Source organism: Homo sapiens, chromosome 10, assembly GCF_000001405.40.
Source record: "Homo sapiens chromosome 10, GRCh38.p14 Primary Assembly".
Taxonomy (NCBI): domain Eukaryota; kingdom Metazoa; phylum Chordata; class Mammalia; order Primates; family Hominidae; genus Homo; species Homo sapiens.
The window spans coordinates 45,876,611-45,903,829 of record NC_000010.11 but is presented as its reverse complement, the minus strand read 5'-3'; the positions used below and the strand labels follow the sequence as shown (position 1 = coordinate 45,903,829).

The following is a 27,219-nucleotide window of genomic DNA, read 5'->3' as shown; positions in this document are numbered from 1 at the left end:
GGAGGTTTTTACATCTGCCTCTTCCCTGTATTGAAAATGCTGCTGGGGCCATATGGCAGAGTGCCTCACAGAAGAGCCAGGAATGACTTTCTGGCTGGGTTCCGGACTATCACTTGCTCGTATTTTAAAATGGAGGTTGTAGTGCTTTGGGTTTGATTTACTGTATACTAATGGGATTATTACTTAACTTGAAATGGCATAGTGGGTCATGGTGGGGGTGGGGATGGATATACCTAGAATAAAATTCCAGTAATGTTATCAGTATTCCATTCAGGGAAAGATTTTATTCAACTCTGTTTCTCCTTATAAGTATGCAAAGAAAAACACCAGCTAATAAGTGTCTGACCTTTGACTGATGTCTGTCTTTGAAAATACCAACAGTTTTGTTTAGAACAAAGTAAGATTTCCTGACTGGCTTTTTGTGTTTGATTTCTTTAATAATCTGTAATTATCTTTCAATTAAATGCCCAAATGTCCTCCCTACATGTAGAGGAGTTATTGTGGCCTGGTTTGTGTGCACACTGCTGACTTAAAATATGCCTTCAAATATACATACCCAGGACTTGAAAAATCTAAATTAAAAAAGAAAGGTGTTGGGAAGTTTACAAAAAAAGTGGGGGCGGGGGAATGATGCTTAATGATTATGAGAAGGCCTCACTTTCTCTGAGCCTGTTTGTGTATGTCTTTCTCTCTGTGTGTCTGTCTCTCATGCTCTCTTTCTCTAACCCCATTTCTATCAGCCTTTCTCTTCTCTCTATCTTCCCTGCCCCATCTTTCTTCTCCCCCTTCACCCGTTTCTTGGGCTCCAGCCTCAGTCCTTTTGTTTTCCTCCTCATTCCCAAAAGCTGTCCCTCAGATTGTATATCACTCCTGGGATGACTTTCATTCATGCTGTTTGCCTGTCTATTTATGTTATTTTTACTTGCTTCCATATCAGGATAATTCATTTTATTTGAGTGGCTGTGCATACAACTTTAAAATTTCACAACAGCCAAGTCTGAGAATTGTCACAAGGATTTTAAACCTGCTTCATCTCCTCTGACTTTATCTCCACTTCTTACCCCCGACACCCACCACGACACTTCCCCCACTTCCCCCTGCTCTATCAGGAAGATGGGAAAGTGTATTTGGTTACACAGTGATTTGAAGTTAGGATTGGAGCAGTGAATAAACAGAGTACATTGAGATTCTGCTTGATTTGTACCTTTAAGATTTGTACCTACAAAATAAACAGTGGTGTTCATTTGTAGTGGGTGATAATAACAGCCATAAAATCTTCCAGGAAAGTCTGTCTCGCCAGGATAATAAATCTGCAGTCTCACGAGGCTCCTAAAGTTAATAATTTGTCATCATGGTTGTGAAGTATGTGACCTTTTATGTGATTTTATACAGATGACCGCATATGGAAGCTAGGGACACTTTTCCTATGTTTTAGAGAATTATTTCTTAAGAGCAACAGCCATTTTCTCCTCACTATGCAATAGTTCTATTGAAGAAGAACTTTTATCCTTTAATTGAATTGTATAGTACATCAATTCATCTCTAGGAAAAGGTGGTGGCTACTTTTGTATTCATATTGCTTTCCTCTAGTGCATAGTGAGCCTAGAAAGAGATTTTGCAGTGGAGCCTTAGGTATTCATTTAGTAAATCATATTTATTGATATAGGATGTTTAATTAAACTGCCATGTGGCTTCTTCATTTTGACTTAAATAAACTCTATTCTAGAAGAAGCCATGCTGAAACCTGCACCCTCAAAGAGCCTTTCTTTCAGCTGGCAACTGGATTATAAGAGTATGTGTATTAAATATTTTAGAAAGATAGGTTCTTTAAATAAAAATTATCACACAGGCTGTCTTAAACTATTTTTAAAAAGAGATCTGATTTTAGATTTGGTTAAAATACTAGCATACATTAGTATTCTTTTTAGGAAATAAATATTCATATAAATTGTTTTTCCAGAAATTGACCCTGAATACAGATTTCAGATCATTGAAAACGGAACCATTTGAAATGTGCATTTCCTTTCCTTTTCCTAATTTATTTCAGTCGCTCAATAGGATTTTCTCATGGAATTAACTTTTCCCTCTCAGCGTAGTTACATAAGCTTGCTGTTGTAATCATGAAAAATAATTACCCATTTCAGCACTTATTAACATGGACTTTACTTGAAGGGTCTCTGGTTTTAAAGTCAGAGCACATGACTAGAGGCAGATGAAGAGTACCTCATCATTCATAGCCACTGAGTCTCTATAATTTTTAAATGCCTTTGGAAAGCTAGATCTTATGCTCAAAAGCATGCTTTTGTGTTAGAAATCTTTCAGTGAGCTACTTACTCAGGTCATAATGCTTTTAAAGCCCTGCTTTTCTTTCCTCAGAATAAACTGAATTGTATGTTACCAATAACAATGCCACATCATTTCAAAGAAAACGGAATTAAGTAATCCAAGTCCGGGTTGCTGAAAACTAGATGACACAGGGTAGGCACTGTTGTGGTTACCATGCAAAGGATCTCTATTAGTCAGCTTGGGCTGCCATAATAAAATACCATAGAACTGGGTGGCTTAGACAACAGAAATTTATTTTCTCATGGTTCTGGAGGCTAGAAGCTGCAGATCAGGGTGCTGCTGCTTTGGTTCCTGATGAGGGCTTTCTTCCTGGCTTATAGGTTGGCTGGCATCTTGTCCTCACATGGCAGAGGGAGAGTACTGTAGTCTCACCTTGCTTTTTAAAATGACACCAGTTCTATCAGATTAGAGTCCCACCCCTATGACCTCATTTAACTGTTACTACCTGCTCACAGGCCCTATCTCCAAATTTAGCTATATTAGGGATTAAGGATTCAACATATAAATTTTGAGAGGTCACAAACATTCAGTCCATAAAAGAATCTAGTTGTTTAACAAGGATTGTTGAGCCCTGATATCTTGTTATACCTGCCTGTGTCCCTACCCCCATTCCCCTCCACTCTCATTTCCTCACAAACACTCAGATAAGGATTTTTTTTGATACCGTTTTTGTTACTTATCAAACTACGTAGTAACATTATGAATTATAAATGTTATTAGCCATTGAGAAAGTAGCTGTGCACTGACTGACTGACCCCAGTTGACTGGGAGGGCTGGATGGTGCCTTCTCTGTGGTGGAAGATAGGTTGGAGAAATGTGGTTGGTAGTAAATGATGTCTGATTTGAGCAGCTTTGAAGAAGTCTGGTTCTAGTTGGTTTCAGTTCTTTCCAGATGCCATTTGAATCTAAACCAATTTTCCAGTTCTTATCATTACAGAATTGTCTTCTGGAAGAATTATTTCTTTGTATTACTTGGTAGCAATATGGATGTAGTTTTGTGAATCATTAAGGCATTTTAACTTATCTTCCATTCTCTTTTATTTTTTATCTCTTTTAGATTGTTTGAGGGACGTTCATCAAGGAAACCGGAGAAACTTAAAACGCTCTTCTGCTACTTTAGAAGAGTCACAGAGAAAAGTAAATTCCTTTCATTCTTACTGTAATTTTTCTTGCTGATGGGAACAGTTCAAGTCAAGTGACATGTGAGGAACATTTTGTGTTTAACGTAAACCTTCCTGTCCCAACCACATTGAAACACTAGTAATGATGCGACAATATAACCTAGATTTTATGCTTATGTTGTGTATAAGCATAAACGTGTGCTAAATGTAGGGGGGGCGGGGTTTACATACTCTGAAATCGGACCCATATTCTCTGAAATCTGTAATATACATCAAAAGATTTTCATGAATAAAAACCAGAGAAAGTATATTGACCAGGAAATAAATTTTGGATGCTCTTTATTTAAAGAAGTATTCACTAGTTTATTTGCATAAGTCAACTAACGCATTGCTTTTCTACCCATTCCTCTCTTTTGTGCCCCCCTAAGCCCTTTGTGGAGTTCTTATAAAACTGTTTTGTACTGAGTTTTATATCTCCATCTTCCTCTATTGAACCTTAACATTCTTGCTTCCCCAAAAACTGATAGCAGCTAACACAGTAATAGTAAATGTCCAACAAATACTGGTAATGACCAGCTGATAATAGATTGGTATTGCCACTCTTATCTCAGAAGCTGAATGACCATGGTCAAGTTTCTTGACACCTCTAAGCTTCAGTTTTATCACCTATGAAATAATATAATAACGGCCATTACCTTACAGGGTAGTTATAGATATTAAACAAGAAGATACATGCTTAATAAATGTAAGCTATTATCAATGGGTAGCCTTTCCTACAAGTGGATGTAAACCAGAACACCTCAAAAGTTCCTTTGTGCTAAGTAGGTAAGGTCAACCTGGTCAAGTGAAATGGCTTTTTTTCAGTTCTGGGTCATAGGATTGTCTTAAAATATGTCTTTGAATCATTTTAAGGTCATTTTTCTCATATCCTTCTTTTACTCTTGCATTACAATGTGCTTGGCATCTTCCCCCTTGAATGTATTGCTATTGGACATTGTTAAATTTTTAGAATGAAATCAATTATCAGGATTTTGATATTTAAGGGAAAATTACATGCTTCTCTGATATGGAATTACCTCATAGCTTATTGAATTTCAGTTTTGTGCCCTGTACTGAATGAAATATTAAAATGCAGAATCATTTGGACCTATGAGACACAAAATCAAATTAGAATTTGTAATGACTTGTTAAAAAGATGACTACGTAAGGCGAGGCACGGTGGCTCACGCCTGTAATCCCAGCACTTTGGGAGGCCAAGGTGGGTGGATCACGAGGTCAGGAGTTCCAGACCAGCGTGGCCAAGATGGTGAAACCCCATTTCTACTAAAAAATACAAAAATTAGCCAGGCGCGGTGGCGGGAGAGTGTAATCCCAGCTACTCGGGAGGTTGAGGCACAAGAATCACTTGAACCCAGGAGGTGGAGGTTGCAGTGAGCTGAGATTGTGCCACTGCACTCTAGCCTGGGCGACAGAGCAAGACTCTGTCTAAAAAAATAAATAAATGACTGCTTTTTTTGGCCATTCTAGGTCTAATTAGAATTATTACTATTGTTTTTTTTTGTTTTGTTTTTACAGTACTTTGAGTTGCCGTTTTAAGTAGAATTATTATAACTAAGTAGTACAGAGTTTACTTTTTTGTCCTGGGAGTCAAATCATGTATGTCTTCTCTAAAAACTAACTTGGCTTTCTAAATTTTAGGATTTCAGATACTTTGAGGAAAAAGCTTAAAGTTTGTTTTTTCAGCTGGAAATGTATATGCCATTATAAGTATTGGGAATTTGAAGAAATAAATTATAACTAGACATTTTATTTTCTGACTTTTTCACTGTACATGTTAATTAAGTTCTTTGTAGAAATACAGTACAACATTGCTCTTGGTCTTCAGTGTGTAAAGCTAATGGTTTGAAGAGGAAATACTAAAGAGAATAAAAGAGGTTGCAGTATAATGAGTGGTTGTGTAGAAGTTCTGGAGCCTACTCAATAGACTTCAGAAGCTTATTTAAGGTACCATATTTCATCGAATCTGAGATGTCATAGATGACTTTTTAAAAATGCTCTTATATTATATACCTCTAAGAAGGAAAAAACACTCAGGACAGGGAGTTTAGTAGGAGACATGACCCACAAGGCTGGTACACCTAAGGATAAATGAGAAATTAACTTGACCTTCCAGGAAAGGGACCATAAAGAAACGTGCAAGTCTCAACCTTGACACTAAATAGAGAAAGGAAAAAAACATTTCTCTGAGAATTTGAACCACAAGCCCTAAGCTTTGAGTGTGCAGCCTTACCACCAGTGTGGTCCACAAAGGCCTGCCACAAAGGATTAATTCAGATGGTATCAGGCTGATAGTGTTCCCAGACGACAGCAGAAGCAGATGCACATCTTCTCTGGGAAAATTCACCTCTAGTCTACACCTATGGTAAGATACCTCCATTATAAAAGATGTATTCCAGTTTCAGAAATGTAACATGTGAAAAAACATGCCTTTTAGAATTGATAAACTAGAATTCCATCAGGACCAACTTTTCAGTGTTGTTAAACATGTGTATTTTATATCTGATGAAGATCTTGAGACTGAAGTATTTTAAAAAGCCTTCTGAATTAAATTACTTTCTATATAGTTTTAGATAAAGTGTCTTATAGATCAGGTTTTTGAAAATTTATGACCTGTATATAGTATATATTGTGATTTTATGATGGGAAGTATTTGATTAATCAAAGTATCCTATTCTGAGATGAAAGTTGCCTTGTTACGAAAAAACGCTAACAGACGTGCTCTCAAGGCATTTTTGTTAATCTAAGAAACCATGTTCTTCTGCCTTTTCTTGCTTTGCCAGCAGTGTTTATGAATTTCTTTTAGCATCTCTTAGTATATATTAAGGACATTTGATGTTCTTCTCTGCTAAGTTACCGAATGACAAGAGAGATGTTTTCTATTATATTCATGGAATTGCTTCACTAGTGTTTGAGTTGTTTGACCACTTACTTGTGAGTTTTAAATATGTTATCCATTTATCTTAAAGTTAGGTATCTAAAAGACGTAAGACCCATCTTAACAAAAAAATTTGTTTTCTACTGCAACTGCTCCATATGGTTTTTGAGTGGTTCCTGCTTTTGACTGAGAACAAGGAAATGTGGAATTGTGCACAGGAATGAAATGATGGCCAGGCTTTCACTGGGTTATACACTGTCATCACTAATAGTTCCTGACATCTCTCTCTTTCCTTAAGAGCTTTTTTGTATTCAAGAAAACAGAAACGGCATGGCCTTTTTAGTTTGTTCTTTGATTTGAATCAGACAAATTACTTCTGGCCAGCTGATTTATTTGTTTCTTTTGCTACTAGCTTGAAAAAATAAATAAATAAATCTGACTAGAAAAGGATCTCATCCTCTAAAATTATTGACTACATTAATAGTACTTCATTTAGATCCTCCCAAATTTATTGCTCCTTGAAAAATATGTCATCTTTGTTCTGTAAACTCTTAGAACCAGTAATTTCTCCTCTGGCTACGACTGCTACTAACAAGTAGAGTGATTGCCCACTATTTAAGCCTGAGACTTAGCTGTACTAACTCCAGAGGATGTGCAAATGATTTCCTTTTTAAATCTGTGACATTTCACTTTACCATATAGTACATAAATGTGTATTTATTCTCCAGTCTTTGAATGTAGGGTTAAGTCCTTTCTTTGTAAAGGAGTCTACAAATTTGAATTCAATTTTGTCTTTATTGCATTAGCTGTACCAGTTATACATCCTTTTTTTCAATGCTCTTTTTTTTTTAAAAAAAAGTGTATTCAGCTTCAAAAACTTTACCAAAAATACCAGCACTCAAATCCTACTGTTGTGCTGTTATTTGTATAGTTTCGTTTAGTGAAGTCTTATTATTTTATAGAAGGAGTTTCTACTGTAAGGATATTATTTTCAATCAATATTCTGTTATTTTCCAATGCTAGGCTTTGTATTTCCTGGTTAGTTTTATAGCCAATGTTAGACCTATTCTTTTACCGAGTGTGTGTGTGTATGTGTGTGTGTGTGTGTGTGTGTGTGTGTGTGTATAATCTTTTCAAAATTGAAACTTATTTTGGGTATGTTTTTCTTTTATTGCTTCTGTAGAACCTACTGGGTTGGTGACATTTACAAGACAGAGTCTTGAAGATTTTCCAGAATGGGAAAGGTAACAACAATAATAAAAATAATCCTAGACCCCCTAGAAATAGAAGGACTCTTGCACCATGAGAGGATTCTATTTTATAGCACCTAGAAAGATGGTTTTCCAACCTCTATTTATCCTAGTGCCAGGGAATTTCTTCTCATAAATGATTCATTGATAGCTCTCATGTTTGAAAAGGTTATGCCTTTTAAATCAAAGTCTATAACCCTTTGATTTCTACCATTTTGTCTTGGTTTTGTCTTCTGAAACAAAGTCCTGTTTAAAATTGAGAAGTGTTGTATGTGAAGACACTAATAAAAGGAACACCAATATTTAAATGTTTCTCCTTACCCTTTTTTTTTGGTTAGTGTTTGAACTTTATGGCTTTTCTTTCTGGAGGACAAGATTGAGAAAAGTCTTTTTATTATTTACATTTTAGTAAACAGTAACCATCTAGAGTTCGTCGAGTGGCAAGAATTTTGAAGTTTGGCTGCCCTTGTGTACTACTGGTAGATTTTGTGGAAGTTGCTATTTACTGTTTGTTTCTTATTTATCAGAAAATATTGAGGAGATAGCAGCCAATATGAGCTAATTCAGATTTGTAAAGTCCTTAGTGTCCTGAAATAGTTAACATATTTCTTAATCTAAAGCAAGTCTCCCAATATACTTAAAGAAGGGTCCTGAAATAGTTAACATATTTCTTAATCTAAAGCAAGTCCCCCAGGACACTTAAAGAAGTGTAGATTAACTTTTTAAATATGTTTGAGGACATGATGAAGCATACTAAATACATATTTAACCAATGCCTCCCATTTTCACTTTCTAATAATTTTATGATAGTTTGTAATTGTTTTGTTTGGAATTAGTGATGAATGGAAATCACTTAAAAAAACGTTAACTTGAGAAGTCATATCTGCTTAGGTGGCTTTCCTGCAGTGTTTTCATCCATCAAAGATGTTTATTTGTGAAGTGAAAGATAAAGAAATTTACTTCAGAAGACTGAGTGCGTGGTTTAGATGATTATTAATAGAGGGAAGTAGATAAAAGGTTAAGCGACCTGAAGAGAGAAAAAAAAATGAGCCAGAAAAAGATGAGAACATGTACAGCATTTTGGCATCATGGCATGTTAGATCTGAAAGGAACCCCAGCCGCCTGCTAAAACTCTTGATCAGCTCTGTAATACCTGCAACAGACAGAAGACTGGATAGCTTCAGTGATGGCAGATCCGCTGTTTCGTATCAGTTTGTTCCATTGGTGGCTGCTTGTGTTATCATCTCATGCTTTCATTCACTAAAAATGTTTTCTACATTCATTCTCCACCATTCCTGGTTCTTCCTTCTGGAGCTACATAAATAAATCTGAATTTCTAGTTTTCTTTAACATTTGACCCTCCTTCATGTATCTTAATGGCTTCTTAACCTACTTCCCTCTCTAACAGTGCATACAAGTTCATACTAAACTGATTCGTTTCTTCTATTTCACATGTAATATGGATTCTAAACCCTTTATCTCTGCTCTTAACATACTCCCATTCATTGGGCCCTCTTAAAATATAGTACCTGGAATTAAAAGTACCATTCTGCTGTGTCATCTCTATGGTGCAGAGGATTGTTTTTCTTCACTCTTCTATTAATCTCTAATAGGAATGCATATGTTTTGTTCCTGTTACTTTGGTGTAGATTTTATAGATCAATCTGAGGGCTTATTTTTAAGTCATCCAGGATCTCTACTTTGCATCTGATATTCATTTGGCACTAATGTGAAAGAACACCCATTTGTATACCACCATGTGGGAGAGAAGGGACAGGTCAAAATGCAGAGACTGGCAAGGCTGCTGTGTCAATGAGACACAGTAACTTTGCCTCTAAGTGAGACGAAGATTGTCCCCTTAATTTTGATAGGCAGAATTTGACTTATTTTTATTTCATTGATCTCTTTTTTGTTTTAGTTGCTTTATAAGTGAGTTGGAGAATATAATTAAAACCAGTCTCCCAGACTCCACAGAACCAGAAACATGCATTCACTTAAAGAGGGAGAATGAAGAAAAGATAAGGATTGTTGGTGTTCCCAAGCGTAAGGGGCTAAATGGGTCCAGGAACTTAGAGGCTTTCCTGAATTCCATGTTTCTGGCATGTTATAGTTAACCCTTTGATTATCAGCAAATACTTTAGCCAGGCTTAATCACAGAGAGCCAGAATCACCTACGTCTCTGACTCCTGGGGCGGGGGTGTAGAGGATGACCTACTGGGAAGTTAGAAAATGCTTCAAAACAAAACCAAGAAAAAGTTTCTAGCAATTTCGTGATTTTATTAAGAGCTATACTATAAAGTTTCTAGCTTCAGTCATGGAGAATAGTTGACAACAGATGGAATTCCCATTCTGAAGTCCTGACTGACAGCCCAGAGATTTTTAGATTATGCTTCTTTATCTTTTTAGTAGTATGCTTACAGGGGTCTTCCTCTGAATAAAATGGCTAGGAAAGTAGGACCAAAAAAAGGAAGTTAAAAAAATATATCAAACTTACCGTACTGTTTTCTACAAGAGACTGGGAAAGTAATTTTTCTAAAAGTGTAGCATACTGATTCAGAGCTTGAGTGAGTCTACCTAGTTTCACATCTCTGCTGCTTTATTTCACTAGTCTTGGTTAGCTTACTTAGATGTTCTGTGCTTTGTTTCCCCGTCTATAAAAGGAGATAGTAATAGGGTTGTTGAGAGGATTCAATGAGTTAATACAAATAAGGCTCTTAGACAGAACCTGTGCAGAATTACCTTCTGAGTTAAAGCTATCAGCCTGTTGGGCTGGAGTTTTGCCAGAAATGTATTTAAACTCATTGAAACCAGGAAGGAATCAAACAATTCTCAGTACTTTTCCAGCTAACCTCCTAGACTATTTTCTAAAAATATAATCATCTCCTCCCTCCCAAAAAAGATTATGGGCACTCTTATGTGAGTTAGAACTTTGGATCTCCTCTGTTTCATTCATTTATATTTTTTATTCAGTAAGTGATCAGGGGAAAAATATCTAATAAGGCAAATAATGTTAACAAATACTTTTAATACAATGGAATTTGTTGTTAATATAACATAAGTCAAGTAAATACCTCAGTGGCCATGGTTGAAAGGGAAAGAAAATAATTATGCCTTCTAAATTACAGGTACTAAGTTTATCTGTTAACCTTATTAATAGAAAAATACCATTGTTCAGAATTTCTGTGGCAGGTATTTTCATCAAGACACACACACACACACACACACACACACACACACACACACACACGGTTATGAAACAGTGAAAATAGAAAATGGAAGCCAGAAGAGAATCATATATGATTTATTGCCAAATTTTTCTACATTTTTCCTCAGATTGCCAACTCTAGCCATAACAAAATTTCATAGATCTTAATTTTTTTTAATATTTTGTAATGTTTTTCAACTGTTTTAAAGAAGAAAAACTTTCATATTATTTAGAGGAAAATCAGGTTTCAAACTATGTTATCCAATTTTAATTTAAATATGTATATTTACATGTTTGAATAAAGGAGGATCAATACCAAGAATGTTAACAGTAGGCATCTGTTTCTGACTTTCGAGATTTGGGGTGGTTTCGGTTTTTGAATAGTTACCTATATTTTCACTTTTGTCCGCAGTGAACAACTTGTCATTAAAATAATAAATAAGGGAATGTCTTTTTATATTGTAGATGTGAAAAACCCTTGACACGATTGCATGTCACTTACGAAGGTACCATAGAAGAAAATGGCCGAGGCATGCTACAGGTAGGTGAATCTTAGTAGTGTCTGTGTATGGTTAGGACTTTTTCTTGTCAAGCTTCTGACAGCAAAAGAAATTTGAAAAACTGTTTATTTGTCTCCTAAACTGATTTAATGCAAAGAAGCATGATAGCAGAATGAAGAAAAACACCAAACAGATCACTTTGACAGCCTTGGTAATGTTGTGATTTGCCAGTGTATACTCTCTGTTTCTTATATGTGCTTCTCTAAAAAGCCTTTGACAGAAAATCCCAAGATCTGGACAGCATCAGCCTCTTGGTTCAGACATTGATAGTAGGTTGACAGTGGAGGAAGTTCCCAGGGTATAGTCTTGACAGACTGTCACCAGGCATTTTTATTCTTTTTCCTTAAAGGCTCTTCTTGCTCTGCCCCAGTTGATGACCAGATGGAGATGTTTTTCTGCCACCAACAGCTTTGTTTAGGTTGAGGGGGCAGACGTCTAAAACTGATTGATAAGAAAGGCCTCTCTCTCATATGTAACAGTTTCACGCACGTGAGCTAGCTGTTTGCTATGTCTTTTCCCTGTTAAAAGCAGGTAATTCTGGTCCACTTCTCAATCTTTGTTAATAATCTGTTACCGCCTTTACCTTTAAAAAGTATTTTTGGAGAAGGGGGTTAACAAAAGCCCCGTGTTTAAAATATAGTAATATCTAACCTAATCTTTTGATTTATAATGCTTCTTTAAAATTCACTAATGTTAGTGTTTTGTGTTCTTATCCCATTTATAAGAGCATTGTAAACTGAGTTTTCTTTGAAAGAAGCTTGTATACCATCTCATTTATACTGATAATAGTTTATTTTTCTTCTTAGATTCTTATTTGGTGCTTATATTGGTTCAGAATCTAAAGAAAGCAGTTGCCTGAAAATGGACTGATTTGTTTGAATAACTTAATGCTCACTATAAAATTTACGTCTAGTTATTATTTAAATGAAACTGAGATTCTTTTTTAAATGGCCTTTTATTTGGACATATTTGTAATTAAAATCTTCAAAGAGACAAACTATGTTTTATTCTAAATCACCTTCTCCCAGTGGTTATTTGAGCTTATAAACAAAAACAAAACATATTTAAATTTGCATTTACTCCTATACCTTTTTTCTGTTTAAAAAATAATCTTAAAATATGCTTAAATATTGGTTCAAATTAGTATCACTTTTTCCCCCACATTCCCCTCTTGATGAAGTTCTTTCCATCTTTAAAGTCTTGGATAAACTGAGAGATTCTTAATACACATGAACTAAACAAAGTTACTGCTAGTTAGCACCACAGGAATGCTGACCTTTCATTACAATACAATTCAACAAGGAATTATTTAACAACAGTTAAGGTTGAGATCCTCCCCACTTCCTTGGAATATATTATAGATGGAAATGTGAGACCTCGGTAGATTAGAGAATACCGTAAGGGCTTCTTTCTATTAATTGTTCTCCCTACCCATGCCATGTCTCCGCAGGAGATCGGGGAATATTGTATTGCAATGCTACAGAGCTCCTTGTGTAGCATATAAATTACATGATGCTGAATGGCCACAACAACAAAACCTCTCTGAGGAGCTTTATCATTCCTGTCTTTTCATCAAGTTATAATTCAGAAGCTGAGTAATCTGAATGAGTAGCTTTAAAGTGACTTGGAAAATAACTGGCTAAAAATAAGGATGCATTCACATTCTTGTTTTCATGTACTGGAACAGGTCTCTCAACTGTTGTAGAGGGTCTTTATTGTTAAGAACTTTTTTAAGTAGTAAAACTTTGGTTTTCTAAAAGACTCTGGCATTTAGAGGCATACTGAGTTTAGTGTCTTTATTTCTGTGTACACCTTTCAAGTTAAAAATGTGGGCCTTTTATTCAAAGAGTAAACAATAACATACACATTGAATGTATTTCATCATCATTATCAAGTAGTACATAAGTTGGATAGAGCTTATCTTTTTATTTTTGTTATGTACCTTATTCCAGTAAAAATTAAGTTAGGCCAATCTTAAACCTCATCTGTTTCTCATTTGTAGTCACAATATCATTATACTTTTAGGCACTCAGCCAGTCTCTTAGTTCTCAAGTACAGTCCATTTTATTTCTTTACCGAGTTTCTTCTCTTTCCTTTACTTTACCACTTTCCTGTTTGAGGCCCTAGTAGTGCCTGTATAAACTATTTAGTACTCACCTAACCAGCATTTTTACTTTTAGTTTTACAGTTTTCCATTTATTCTTTAAACTCTAGCCTGAATTATCTTCCTAAAACATAGGTCCAGGTGTTACTTGAATCTTTCCCAGAACCTTCAGAGGGAAATTGAGTAAAAATTCCCTAGACCTCAGACCACCTCATCACCAACTGTAAGCCTCCACCTACTCTACACTGCAGGCAAGCACAATGAATCTGTTTACCATTCCCCTCATACAGTGATTTACATTTGTTTTTTTTTTTGCCCTGTGTCCTTGTGCAGCTATGCCCTCAGCCTGCATGTCAGCTGCCACATCCCCTTGTAAAGCTTTCCTATCTTCCTCCCATGCTCCAATTTTAGTTAATTGTATTATTAGAAAGTATCAAATACATAGTAACAAGCTCTTCAATAATCATCTTCTCATTCTGCTTATGCTCATTCTGACTGCCATCTAAATTGCAAATGCCGTGAGGCCAGGAACCATACATATCTTATTCATCTTTGTATCCAGTGATTCCCAGCACAATACTCAGTAAATAGTTGTTGAATTGGACAGTTTAAGCCATGAATCACCCAGTGCCCATAGACCTCATATGTAGTAGGTAGCTAATTCTAATCAACAGACTGGTTTCACCAAAATTATTTTCCTATTTAAGCTAAAGAGTTACTCTGGTTTTTTAGCATTGGTTTTAGTACTCCAGAACACAAATCCAAATATATGATTCTCTCTGGTAGCTCAATTGAAGAACTCCTCAGTGGTATGTTTTAGTATTTTCTAAGTTCTCCTGTGGTAAAAGAAGACTGCTTCGCCTTCTATTAATTTCTGTCTTTTGACATATATTTTTACATATCAAACGATTCATACTATTGTTTTACTATTTTGTAAAATAGGCTTCAGATTGTCATTTAGTATCAGTTGCTTTAGAGAACACTGAAGTTTTAAGAAATCGTATATTTTAAAATAGTTTGAAAGAATATAAGCCTCATGGTATTTAGTAAATCCTATTTTACTTGTGTGTATGACTATGTATATACACAAGTTGTGTGTGTGTGTGTGTGTGTGTGTGTGATCTAACTCCTCAGATAGTCTCACTAAGGAAAAGATGGTTGCTATTTCTTACATACTGCTTCATGAGGCTGGCATAGTGCTGGACACACTGGACAAACGGAAATAATGCCAGCAAGTTGAGTTTGCTTTCTCTGGAGGATTGTGTAATTCTTCTTTATTAGTAGGCATTTGGGGATCCCATCATACTACTCCACATAAAGCTTAAGAGTTTCCAACCTAATTGGAAATATTACTTTAATTGAATCTTTGTTGCTATACTGGGTTTTCTTTCTTCCTTTTTTCCTTAGTTATATTTTTAAAAAGTAGTTTGTAATGTTCATGTAGTTTGGGGTTTGGGGTTGAATTTAGAAGGACAAAAATTCGATCTCTTTATTCTTACAATAAAGTTGGAAAAGGTTACCCAAAAAGTTGATTACTAAACTTTTCAGTTCTTTAGGGCAAGTGTTTGGTTACCATATTACATAAGAAAAGTTTAATTATATTAAAGTCACGTGAAATACATAAAGGGAAGTTGAGTAGTGAATGGGGGAGAATGACTTTGAAACCTTCCCAGATAAAGACCTCCCTTGATTTGTGGCCCATGAGACACAAATAGGTTTATAAACAAGAGTCTGTATGATTCATAATATTTTGCCTAAAAGCTCCATTTTCCAGATTGCTTCTCTGGTTCTGGGATCCAGAAAAATGTGCAGAGATGTTAACTGCAGTGAGGTGGAAAGAGCTTAAGCAACCAAAATCTGCCCTTCCTGGGAAGATTACTTATTTGGGGATTGATTTTCATGGGAGAGGAAAAGATGAGAGCTTAGAGACTATGTGCTTCTTGATCATATGTGTAGGTATTTTTGACCATTATTTAATGTCACATTTCCCCAACAGGTGGATTTTGCAAATCATTTTGTTGGAGGTGGTGTAACCAGTGCAGGACTTGTGCAAGAAGAAATCCGCTTTTTAATCAATCCTGAGTTGATTATTTCACGGCTCTTCACTGAGGTGCTGGATCACAATGAATGTCTAATTATCACAGGTTAGTTTTGGGAAGCCTGGAAAATGGGGTAGTCTTCCCCATCTGTGAATATCTGTCATGAAGACTAGAGACTACCCAGTATAGCTTTTATCTTCCATGGGCATCAGTCCCAATATTTTTATCCATTAATTTATACTTAGTTTTTGAAATTATTACAGCCTTATTTTCCTAATCTTAAGTAAGACATCTTATTTTTACCTTTTCTTTCTTTCGTGGCATCTTTATCTGAGGAAGAGGGATTAAAAACTATTCAGTTACCCCACAGTTTGAATTTTTTTTTTTTTTGAGACAGAGTTTTGCTGTTGTTGCCCAGGCTGGAGTGCAATGGTGCAATCTCGGCTCACCAAAACCTCCTCCTCCCAGGTTCAAGCGATTCTCCTGCCTCAGCCTCCCGAGTAGCTGGGATTACAGGCATGCGTCACCACACCCGGCTAATTTTGTATTTTTAGTAGAGACAGGGTTTCTCCATATTGGTCAGGCTGGTCTCGAACTCCTGACCTCAGGTGATCCGCCCGCCTCGGCCTCCCAAAGTGCTGGGATTACAGGTGTGAGCCACCACGCTTGGCAGTTTGAAATTTTATGACATAATAATGCTCTTAAGAAGAACATAGTGATATGCCTCTAGTATGTATTCTGTTGTAATTCTTCCATTTGAGAGTGATTTGTTTCTATTAAAAATAATTTTCAAGTGGTTTCTTGTACTTTAGTATGAAGACATTGTGTAAATATAAGAAGCATAGGAACAGTATTTAGAGAAATCAGTAACCTTTTGTTTACCCTATTTTGAATCCTAAAAGAAAAAGTTCAGTTATCATGGCCAGGCGCGATAGTTCAGGCCTGTAATCCTAGCGCTTTGGGAGGCCAAGGCAGACAGATGGCCTGAGGTCAGGAGTTCAAGACCAGCCTGGCCAACATGACGAAACCCCGTCTCTACTAAAAATACAAAAATTAGCCAGGCACGGTGGCGGGTGCCTGTAATCCCAGCTACTCAGGAGGCTGAGGCAGGATAATCACTTGAACCCGGGAGGCAGAGGTTGCAGTGAGCTGAGATCGCGCCACTGTACTGCAGCCTGGGCGACAGAGCAAGACTCCATCTCAAAAAAAAAAAAGTCTGATTATCTTGGTGTTTCTTCTTGTTCTTCTTGATTTCTTTACGCTAATATGGGAGGAGGAGGGGGGAAATTTAGTCACGTGTATGCTTTAGGTCTGTTATAGAGATTTAATTTTTTTTTGTTTCTTCAGACTGAGATCACTATGTAACAGTATTTTCTTTGAATAAGCTATCAAGAAAAATGATGATTACCTCATATCTCTTAAGAAACTCTTAATCAGGCACCATATGTAAGTTGAGTCTTTTATTCAAGTACGTAAAAGAATATTCCCACATAAGTGCCGTTAATGCACCATGAGTTGCTGGTACTATTTTTTTTTCCTGAAAAAGTGGATTTTTTATTTCCACTTAGAATCTGTTACTGCTTGGAGATGAGTTTCGGGGTCTAAACACTCACCTGGGTTGTAGAATTTAGTTTATTGTTATTCCCAAAAATTATAATAGGAGAAAAACCTTCCCCATGAGTTATATAAAATGTGTACCCAACCGCATTACCTCCAAAGACATACATGACAAAACCGACTCCAAAGTCTAATCTTGAAGCCACACTGTGCCTCAGATAGATTTGTAGACAACCTTCAGAAGAGTATATTTTCTTATGTTTTGCTTTTAAGATTCTCTTTGACTTTCAATGGTTTGAATATGGTGTGTCTACATGCAGATCTCTTTGACTTTATCCTACTTGAAGTTTTTTGAACCTCTCTAATGTTTGTTATATTTGGTAAATGTTGGGCCATTATTTCTTCAAATGTTTGTTCTTCCCCTTTCCTCATCTTCTGGGACTCCCAAATTACGTGTTTGTTGATTCACTTGATGTTCCACAGGTCTCAGAAGCTCTGTTTATTTTTCTTCATTCTTTATTCTTCTTGTTCCTGAGGCTCAGTCTCAATTGCCCTGTCTTCAAGTTCACTGGTTGTTTTTTCTGCTTGCTCTAAACTGCTTTTAATCTCACTGGTGAATTTTTTATTTCAGTTATTGTACTTTTCAATTACAAATTTCTGTTTATTTTTTATAATTTCTATCCCTTTATTTATTAATATTCTCTATTTGAGAGGCATCATTCTTATACTTTAGTTTTTTAGACATAGTTTTCTTTAGTTGTTTCAGTATATTTTAAATAGCTGATGTAAATTCTTTGTCTACTAAGTCCAACATCTGGGCTCCTCAGGGGCAGTTACTACTGACTGCTTTTTTTTTGAGTATGGGCCATACTTTCTCATTTCTTTCCATGTCTTCTAATTTTCATTTAAAACTGGACATTTAAAATAATGTAATGTGACCCTGGAAATCAGATTTTCTCTTTTCATCACAGTTCATCCTTCTTGCTGTTTTTTCAATGACTTTTCTAAACTAATTTTGTGATGTCTGTGTTCTTTCTGTGTGTGGCCAGTGAAGTCCCTGCTTGTTAGATTAGTAGTCAGCTAATGCTTGAACAGATTTCCTTAGATGCCTGAAACTAATAAGTCTCAACGAAGTCTAATAGTCTTTGTTGAAGGGCTGTATGTGCAGGTGCAGCCTACCTTCAACACTGCACTAAGCAGTTGATGCCTCTGCCTTAGCCTTCACTTCCTGTCAAGGTCAGGCAGAGGAGAGAGCTGAGGGCTTTCTCTAGTTTTTCCTGAGCATTCATATGGCCATGGGCACGCATGAGCCCTCTAGATTCCTTCTTGTTTTAATATATTAGAACTTTTCAAAGCCCTTTGTGGACATTCTCATTCTTCAGTTTTTCCTTTGAAGCTTTTGGTTAGCCTATTGTTTGCCCCAGCTGTTTGCCACCACCTCAAGAAGTTTCAGTGTTAAACAATCCCTGTAATTGTTTTCATCAAACCCTCAAAAGAATTATGCTTTTCCTACTGGCCAAGCTCCAAGTCCTGTAAAGTAAAGACAGCCTTCTGAGCGGGGCCCTCCAGGGGACCACCAGACAGGTCAAATAATGACAGTTCTCTGAGAATTGGGCTTTGAAGGAGCTTCAGCTTTCTTTTGCCCCCTCTGATGGCTTCTGATTTTCACTGTGATTCAGGAAGGTTAGTTTTTAAGGCCGAGATGGAGCTTGGGAGAGTGGGATGGGAATAAGGCAAATAAAACACTGCAAAGTTTATTGTTTTTACCAAGATTCAGCTGGTTTTTCTTGAATAAGCACTCCCTGGATTGCTGCAAGCCTTTGGCTACTTTTCAGTTGATTCTCACAGTGCTCATCACAGTGTTCACATTGCTTTCATGGAGGAGAGAGTTTTCAGAGGTTTTTACTGCACCATTTTTTACTGATATCTTTTTATCTTTTGTAAGCACCCGTGGATAAAGGAGCTTTCAATGAGTTATTCTACATCATTTAGACATCCTATGTAAATTTTTATCCCTGTGATTCTGCTTTTTTGGTGAAGTAAGGCAAAAAATAAAAAATTGTAAATTGTCTGAGTTTATGTAGGAAATTAAGATTGGAACTTCCGCAAAGGAATTTTTTTCCTGGACAGAGCCTCAGTCAGCCATTTGAAGTTAGTGACTTGGAGTACTGCATTCAGAATTCTGAGATTATGATCCAAATTATACTGAAATGGAAAGATAAACTCCTTTTGTACTCAACACTTCCTCAACTCACATTTTGGCCATCTGTCTGCATTTGTTAGTTATCATGGATGCACGTGGGAGGTATATAATTGGGCAAGGTACTAGGGGAGATAAGATTGCAAGGAATTACAGAACAAAAAAAACTGGCATAAATCTATTGTTGAGCAACCAGCACTTTGGCTATTGGTCTCATACTATTGTAGGGAAGCTCTGCAGGTTTGGAATATGGCTGTCTTCATCATTTACGTACATCAAATAATACTTTAAAAGATTGTTATTCCGGCTGGGTGCAGTGGCTCACGCCTGTAATCCCAGCACTTTGGGAGGCTGAGGCGGGCGGATCATGAGGTCAGGAGATTGAGACCATCCTGGCTAACGTGGTGAAACCCCGTCTCTACTAAAAATACAAAAAAAAATTAGCTGGGCCTGGTGGCAGGTGCCTGTAGTCCCAGCTACTTGGGAGGCTGAGGCAGGAGAATGGCGTGAACCCAGGAGGCGGAGCTTGCAGTGAGCCGAGATCGCACCACTGTGCTCCAGCCTGGGCAACAGAGCGAGACTGTCTCAAAAAAAAAAAAAATTTTTTTTTTTAGCTCTTAAGGTAGATTTGGATTGAACACTGAGAACAAAATATCCCATCAGTTTTTAAGATGAATTTACATTCTTGAAATAAAAAACTTGGTAAAATGCATTTAAACTTAAAGCTAACTTGTTTCATTTGCTTAATTTCTCTAGAAAGTAGTAAGAACTGGGCTGGGCGAGGTGGCTCACCCCTGTAATCCCAGCACTTTGGGAGGCCGAGGCAGGGGGCATCACAAGGTCAGGAGATTGAGACCATCCTGGCTAACACGGTGAAACCCCATCTCTACTAAAAATCCAAAAAATTAGCCAGGCATGGTGGTGTGTGCCCGTAGTCCCAGCTACTCAGGAGGCTGAGGTGGGAGAATCTTTTGAACGTGGGAGGCAGAGGTTACAGTGAGCCGGGATTGTGCCACTGCACTCCAGCCTGAGTGACAGAGTGAGACTCCGTCTCAAAAAAAAGAAAAGAAGAAGAAGAAGAAGAAAGTAGTCAGTACATTGTCATCCTCCATTAATGTTAATGTAAATAAAGGATGTCATTTTCCTTGGGAATAAAACAGGAATGTTAAAAGGAAAACATAAGAATATTTTCTTTTTTTAAAGATAATTTGTCCCCAGTCTAAAAAAGGATTCTAATCTCCTTTTACGTAATCTCTAAACGTTCCTGCAGCTATTGTAAAATGAATGGAAAATTGCAGATCCATGACTCACCTTCAGATCTGTAATTACCTCAGGCTAAGGACATATGGGGTGACTTTTAACTCAGCATTTTCCCCCCACATCCACTTAACTTTATTATAGTGCCTCCTAATTAATATCTGTGATGTGATGTTACCTTAATGGAAATGGCCATTTCATCATCTATTTGATGTCTGGATTTCTGCCATCTCCCTCCTTAGGAGACTCTTAGCCATGCACTGCAATCTATCTGCCTGATCAATTCTGTTCCTTCAATGATGCATCCAGCTCAGTGAGCTAATGGCTGTGACTGTGCTGCCTGAATCTGTAGAAGAGTTTGAGAAATTGGAAATAAATTAAATTTATCATCATTGTGGGACATCTGGTTGGTATCATTATTTTAAAAGAATATGAAACAGGTCATGCAAACAGGCAAATACTTTTATACAGACAGTGTTATCCCTCTGTTTGTTGTGATCCTGCCTGGGGCAGCCATGAGTTAAAAACCTTTCAGTAAGTATAGATAGAGGGAAAGAGTTAAAATTCCAATCTTCCCATTTCTTCTTTTTTTTTTGTCTTCTCTTACTTGTTTCTGTACAACATCCAGAAAATAGTTTCAATACTAAAGGGTGTTAAGTTTTCTGAGAGTTGTTTTTCTGCTTCTGTTTGGTGAGCACATAAACCAGGTGCCTAGACATGAAACCTACTGGGCAGAGTATTCCTGTATTTAACGTAAAACCTGCCTCTAGTGAATCAGATTATCCCAGACATCACAAATCTTTACATCTTTTCCAAATGTCAGCAGAGCTGATAGAAATGATAACAAGTAGACACCATTGCTTATAGTACTGGTGACATCTTCTAGAGTTAAAGTACTAGAGGTGCCTGTCAAGACACCAGCTCATTGGGAAAGGTCCAAATTCAGTTGGAGTTTTCCAAAAATGTTTGGAAATTAAACGTTTTTATGCTTGTCTTTTCTAAGTTTTTAATAATCATTAGAATTAAAAGCAAGAGTTTTCTATTTACTGCATAATCACTACTGTTTGAGTGATGCTAATAAAATTTGGGTAAAATGGTGTTTATATAAACCTGCTTTCCAAGGGAACAATCCATTGGTAAGTAGAATTTTTTTTAATCTCCGAATGTTTTTTCCCATGATCGTTACAAACTCTTATTCCTAATAAGGGAAAATAACCATGTTTCTTACTACTAAATCTAAAAAATCATGAAGAGGTCATGAATTCCTCATAAGATTTTAATGGATTCCTTCTAGTTTTTTCCTTAAGTGAAGGTCTTTGACTATGAAGTCTTAAAGGCCCATCCCTAGTGAGAGCTATCACAAAGGTCATTCAGTCTTCTGTCTCAGTAGCTGTTACCAGTTTACCTTTATATTTTCATCATAGTTCATTAATTTAAATTTTAAACAAGTTAAGGGCATTCACTTTTTTCGAAGGAGACAGTTGGCATGTTAAAAGGTGTCTACTTAGAAAACCCAGGGTTTAACTTGTTTAGTACAAAAGTGTTTGTATGTGTATTTTTTATTTCCCATGAAGGAGGGAAGGAAGTAAATCTAACCTTGTTCCTCTCAGAGAAGAACACTGAAACTATATTAACATGAAGTAGAAACATGATAATTGATATGTTATATTTTTCAGCCACTTTCTTTTAAAAAGACAGAACAAGTATTTGTTTTCCGAGTTAACAGATCAGAATAGGCAGTTTGTCTTTTTATGAACAGGAAAAACGAGGCTTGTCTACCGCTAGGCAGAAAACAGAAAAGAAGGAGTAGTCCTTGCTGTCTTGGTTCCTATCAGGCAAGTAGACCAGGTTGCTTTTCACCCTCGAGTAAATAGAATCACGTATCTGTGGTTTCTCTACCCCCTTAAAAAATTTATTTCTAATGACACCAATACTGATGGCTTTGTGGGTTTGAATGAATTTTTTACTTGTCTTATTTAGTTTCCCAAGGAATTCTATGATGTAAACAAAATAAGAATTATTAAGAACCCTGAATTTCAGATGATGGAATGATGTCCAGTGAGGTTTGGTTATCTAAGGTCACCTAGCTAGTGAAGATCCACTTTGAGTTTCTCACGTTTCCTAATCTCAGTGCAGTGCTCTTTTTACCATACCATGCATTTATTGTAGATGTGAATTTTTAGTATGCGTCAGTTATGTAGTGCCTTCGGATTATTTCTGGACTCATTGTTTTAATCATCAGTTAAATTTCTTTGGCTCATTAATTATTATGTTTATTCGGCAAGTTCTTACTCAACTGCTTTTATATTCTTGCATTACAAGATGCTAATGTAGATAAAAATATTATTTATTTTTTCTTTTTTTAGACACAGGATCTCTGTCACCCAGGCTAGGGTACAGTGGCACAATCCTAGCTCACCGTTACCCCAAATTCCTGAGCTCAAGGGATCCTCCCACCTCAAACTCCTGAGTAGCAGGAACTGCAGGCTCACACCACTGCACCCACCTAACTTTTTTTTTTAATTTTCAGTGGAGACAAGGTCTCATTCTGTTGCCCAGGCTGGTCTCAAACTCCTGGGCTCAGGCAGTCCTCCTGCCTCGGCCTCTCAAAGTGCTGGGCTTACAGGCATGAGCCAACACACCCCGCCTATAATTTATAATCCCTGCCCTTGAGGAGCTGAGAGTCTAGTGAGGGAGTCAGATTCCATTTCTTAAGACAGATTTATTGAGGTATAATTGACATAAAATAAACTATTTGTTTATACAATTATGTAAGTTTGGACGTATGACTACACCCATGAAGCTATGTTTTGTTTAAGTTTTCATTGTTTTTTGTTTTAATTGAGTTTTGAAAGCTTTATATATTTTGGATATAAATCCTTTATCAGATATTTCTAGCATGTCTTTTCATTCTCTTCACAGTGACTTTTGAAGCACAGAAGTTTTAAGTTTTGAAGTAAGCTTATTAATGTGTTGTTTTCTTTCTTCCTGTTTTGGTTGCTATAGCTTTATAATAAGTCTTAAAATCAGGTAGTATGGGTCCTTCAACTTTTTTCTCCTTCAGAGTCATTTTGCCAAGTTTTAGAATCAGTATTTCAATGTTTACCAAAACAGCTTGCTGAATTTTGAGAATGCTTTGAATCTGTAGATCTGTTTGGGGAGAATTGACTTTTTTTTTGAGACGGAGTTTCGCTCTTGTTGCCCAGGATGGAGTGCAATGGCGTGATCTCAGCTTACCGCAACCTCTGCCTCCCAGGTTCAAGCGATTCTCCTGCCTCAGCCTCCCTTGTAGCTGGGATTACAGGCATGTGCCACCATGCCCGGCTAATTTTGTATTTTTAGTAGAGACGGGGTTTCTCCATGTTGGTCAGGCTGCTCGCGAACTCCCGACCTCAGGTGATCCGCCCACCTCGGAATTGACATCTTAACAATGTTTTGTCTTTGACACATGTCTAGGATGTATGTCTCTGTTTATTCATGTCAGTTTTACTCACTAGTATTTTATATTAGTATTTTATGGTTTTCATTGTATAATTCTTCCCCATTTTGTCAGATTTATCCGTATTTCATAATTTTGTTGCTGTTGTAAGTTTTTAAAATTTCTGTTTTTAATTATTCATTGCTACTATGTGGAAATGCAATTGATTTTCAGATTACAATTCAATATGCTAAGTGCTCTACCAATGTTATGTGCAAAATACCTTGGGAGCATGGAGGAAGAACAATCAACCCTACTTATGGTGTCAAGGAATGCTTCATAAAAGAAATAACATAAATTTTCTAGTTATTTTCTTGATTTTTAGCATGAATATCTTGTCCAAAATTCTAGATAAATGTCTAATAATTAAAATACAAATTATTTTTAGAAGTAGTATATTAAATAATAGACTGGAAACTCTAGTATTGAGTTTAAATCTTGGAACTTTTGATTCTGGAAATTTTTAATCATATATGAAAATAGAGTATTTTCATAGCTTTATTTATATTATGTGGTTTTTATTGTGTGTTTTTCTGTTTGTTTTGAGACAGAGTCTCACTCTGTCACCAGGCTGGAGTGCAGTGGCGCAATCTCAGCTTACTGCAACCTCCACCCTCCAGGTTCAAGTGAGTCCCCTGCCTCAGCCTCTCCTGAGTAGCTGGGACTACAGGTGCACGCCACCACGCCCAGCTAATTTTTGTATTTTTAGTAGAGATGGGGTTTCACCACGTTGGCCACGATGGTCTCGATCTCTTGACCTTGTGATCCGCCCGCCTCGACCTCCCAAAGCGCTGGGATTACAGGCATGAGCCACCCCGCCCGGCCTTATATTACGTGTTTTTATGTGTATGTATATGAAATTTCAGACTTACAGAAAAGTTGCAGGTATAATACATGGAATTTCCATATACTCTTTACTCAGATTCACAGAAAAGTTGTAAGAATAATACATGGAATTTCCATATACTCTTTACTCAGATTCACCAGTTTACATTTTTGTCCCATCTACTTCATCATTTTCTCTATTTTCTTTTCTTGAATTGTTTAGGAATATGTTGGAGATACTGTGCCCTTTTATCCCTAAATACTTTGTTGTATATTTCCTAAGAACTAGGACATTGTCTTACATCAGCACAGCACAGTTAGTTATCAAAATCAGGAAATTTAATTTGATACAGTACTGTTAGTTAATCTATATTATAATATAATTTTGTTATTCCAATTATGACCTTTGTAGCTTTCTTTCCAGTCTTCAATTAGTCCAGGCTCATACCTTGGTATTCTTTAAACTGGAACCATTTCTCAGCTTTTCCTTGTGTTTGTTCACTTTGATATTTCTAAAGTGGATAGGCTAGTTATTTTGTAGATTGTCCTTCTTGTGTTTGCCCACTGCTTCTTCCTAATTAGGTTCAGGTTATTCATTTCGGTAGGAATCCCACTGAAGTGATACTGTGTTCTATTTAGTATATCTTTTGAGGAGACATGTGATAGCACTTTGTCCCAATATTTGTGACACCAGTGTAATGACTTGGTTAAGTTGGGTTGACCAGGTTCCTCCACTGTCAGGTTATACTTTTTCATTCTGTAATTAATGTATCGCTATATATTTTATATACTTTGAAACTGTAAACATCTTGTCCTCATAAAACCTTCACCTACTAATTTTAGCAGTCATTGCTAATTTTTTAAACTCCCATTCTTTCTACATTTAGTAGTTGGCATTCTACTATAAGGAAGAATTTTCCCTTTTTCCTTATTTGTGTATACTTATTTATTAATATTTATTATTTATTAATATATATGCAAGTATAGACACTTGCATTCTTATTGTATTCAGTGGATTATGATCCATTGCTATTTTCTGTTTGGTGCTAAATTGTCCCATATTCCATCAGTGGGAATGCCTTCAAGTTAACTATTGTGTGCCTTTGACATGTGCCCATCATTCTTTAATGCACTTTCTTCTTTGAGCATCTCCATCTTTTTAGCACAAAAAGATGTTGTAGGCTCATCTTGTATATTCCCTGCACCAGCTCTGGAATCAGCCATTTCTGCAGGTGGTCCTGGATTTTAGTTAGTTTTGGAAGCCAAGATTTGAACTAGAACATATATGTTACACACACACACACACACACACACACACACACATATACAACTGTGAATTTATATTGATACCTCCCATTCTTAACCAGCATCACAGCCTATATTATAGTCTTTCCCCCTTTCCATAATTGGAACTCTCTTCTCCAACAATGAAGAATGTGGTTCCCAATATCTTCAATTTTTCTCATTTGTTTAAGCCTAATATATACAAAAGGTGATTTCAGAACTTCTAAACCATGCCACTGCAAAAAGTAAACCTGTTAAATAGAGTTCATTACTTGTTTACAGTTCTTTTATTTTTGAAGTAAAATTTACACACATTGAAGTATACAATGTTAAGTGGATAATATGGTGAGTTTTGGCAAATTGATATGCTTTTATATCCCACACCCCTATCAAGACATAAAAAAAAACCATGTCTATCACCTCAGAAAATTCCCTTGAGCCCTTTTCTGGTCAGTCCCCAACCCCAGAAACAACCATAATTTTTATTCTTTTCATTATAAATTACTTTTTTCTTTTTTTTAGAATGTCATGTAAATATATGTCATACACACTTCTGTATCTTGCTGCTTTTGCTTAGCGTAATGTGAGATCTATCTATGTTTTTTAATGTGTCAGTGGTTCTATCCCTTTTATTACTAAGGAGTATTCCTTTGTGTGATCGTGGCAAATGTTTTGTTAATTTTTTATCAATAGTTGGATTGTTTCCACCTTTAGTTTTGTGATAGTCTTTTTTTTTTTTTAATGTCAACTTAGCTAGGCTACAGCCCCCAGTTATTCTGTCAAACACTAATTCGGGTATTGCTGTGAAAGTATTTTATAGATGTGATCAAAGTCTACAAGTAAAGGAGTTAATCTTATTGCATTCAATAAGCATTTTTTTTTCCTTTGAGACAAAGCCTCACTCTGTTGCCCAGGCTGGAGTGCAGTGATGTGACCTTGGCTCACTGCAACCTCTGCCTCCTGGGTTCAAGTGATGCCCCTGCCTCTGCCTCCCAAGTAGCTGGGATTATAGGTGCCTGCCACCATGTTCAGCTAATTTTTGTATTTTTAGTAGGGAC

General features: G+C 36.5%; 2 pseudogenes across 3 annotated transcripts in view; both read left to right on the top strand.

Annotated features, from left to right (window-relative positions):
- Positions 1-27,219, top strand: part of PARGP1-AGAP4 (PARGP1-AGAP4 readthrough) — a 146,781-nt pseudogene that overhangs the window by 68,545 nt on the left and 51,017 nt on the right. For both annotated transcript variants that reach the window (NR_160518.1, NR_160519.1), the window contains exons 4-7: positions 3,404-3,483; positions 7,586-7,646; positions 11,323-11,398; positions 15,518-15,665. The product of NR_160518.1 is annotated as a PARGP1-AGAP4 readthrough, transcript variant 1 (transcript). The remainder of the gene's footprint in view (positions 1-3,403; positions 3,484-7,585; positions 7,647-11,322; positions 11,399-15,517; positions 15,666-27,219) is intronic.
- The window catches only part of PARGP1 (PARG pseudogene 1), a 117,594-nt pseudogene that overhangs the window by 68,599 nt on the left and 21,776 nt on the right, over positions 1-27,219 (top strand). The window contains exons 8-11 of the transcript NR_029388.2: positions 3,404-3,483; positions 7,586-7,646; positions 11,323-11,398; positions 15,518-15,665. The product of NR_029388.2 is annotated as a PARG pseudogene 1 (transcript). The remainder of the gene's footprint in view (positions 1-3,403; positions 3,484-7,585; positions 7,647-11,322; positions 11,399-15,517; positions 15,666-27,219) is intronic.